Here is a 1,407-nt window from a genome sequence, read left to right as displayed (position 1 = left end):
CCCCAAGCTTCAACCTCTCCCTGGCTTGAAGGTGGGGTTTCACTGGGGACCTGCCCCTTCCCTCCTAAGAATCTGTGTGCCTCCCGCTGCCATCAACATTACATCCACAGTGCACAGGCTGTTCCTGCTGAGGGGCACCCACAGGCCCACGACAAGCTGCCCTCAGTACCTCAGCCTCCCTCCCACACTTGTCGGTGCTCAAAGTCTGGAAGGGGCCAAGGGAACAGGGGGCTTGTACGTCAGTGCTGCCCCAAGTACACGCACACCCGGCCAGGCTGTGACAGCCCTCGGGCTTAGCCATAACTTTGCTCTGCACTGGAGTCGGCACCAGGAGCAGGAAAAGGTTTGTGAGTGGGAGCAGGCACTTCTGAGCCTGCAGGGGAAGAGGGCTTCCTGAGCTCCCAAGAGTGCAGGGATGCCTGGGTCTGGAGCTGCAGCTGGGCAGCTGTAGCTGCACCTGCAGGCAAGGACTCCCTCCCTGCCAACTCAGTAGGGTATGGGGCTCCCACTGGGATCACCAGTTACCAGCCCCCACCGAGCGCACAGCCCTGGTCGCACCTCCCCCACTGCAGCTGGAGTCCTCACAGTGGCCACCCCAGATGGGCCCCTGCCACCATCATTAGGGAGCTATCGTATTGGCTCTGTCTTTAGAGCAGACACCAAGTATTTTTTGCGTGCTTCAAGCCTTCGCATTGCAGATTGTCAACATTTAAGTAACATGGATGTATACATCTGTCTCTAAGTAGCCAAATGTGAATCTAATACACTCCTTCTAAAATAACTCAGAGCCTTGGGGGAATAAAGGGTTTCCCAAAAACAATTTGTTAGAGTTGGGTCTATGAAGAGCGTGGGAAGAATATAGAATTCAGAATAAGATGTTCCTGAGTCTCCCTGTTCCCTGTTTTTTGTTTGTTTGTTTGTTTGACCAGCTATATACCGTCAGCATGCTTCTTTGTAATTATGGGTCTCCATAGGTTTTACTGTTTTTCTTTTTTTGTCTTGAGACAGTCTTGTTTTGTCACCCAGGCTGGAGTGTAGTGGCACAAACTCGGCTCACTGCAACATCCACCTCCCAGGTTCAAGTGATTCCCCTGCCTCAGCCTCTGGAGTAGTGGGATTACAGGTGTCCACCATGATGCCTGGCTAATTTTTGTATTTTTAGTAGAGATGGGGTTTCACCATGTTGGCCAGGCTGGTCTCAAACTCCTGACCTCAGGTAATCTGCCTGCCTTGGCCTCCCTAAGGACTGGGGTTAAAGGCCTGAGCCACCCACGACTGGCCATTACTGTGTTTCTTACTATGACTTCTCTTAGCTCCCTCAACCCATGCACATGCTTCTAATAGGTATTTCCCTAGGAGTCTCATCAGATTTAAACTTCTTCGATCATTTTTCAGTCTCAACTAGCT

At 51.7% G+C, this 1,407-nt stretch overlaps 1 annotated feature.

Moving 5' to 3' along the window:
- Positions 309-809: an enhancer, noted in NCBI's record as "H3K4me1 hESC enhancer chr17:51868774-51869274 (GRCh37/hg19 assembly coordinates)". NCBI's record gives its function as "activates a minimal SCP1, AML or CMV promoter by ChIP-STARR-seq in primed H9 embryonic stem cells {active_cell/tissue: H9 hESC(primed)}" and the evidence as "EXISTENCE:reporter gene assay evidence [ECO:0000049][PMID:30033119]".

This window comes from Homo sapiens, chromosome 17 (genome assembly GCF_000001405.40).
Source record: "Homo sapiens chromosome 17, GRCh38.p14 Primary Assembly".
In the NCBI taxonomy this organism is placed as follows: Eukaryota; Metazoa; Chordata; class Mammalia; order Primates; family Hominidae; genus Homo; species Homo sapiens.
Note: the sequence above shows the minus strand (reverse complement) of the source record. Positions and strands in the feature narration are given on the sequence as shown.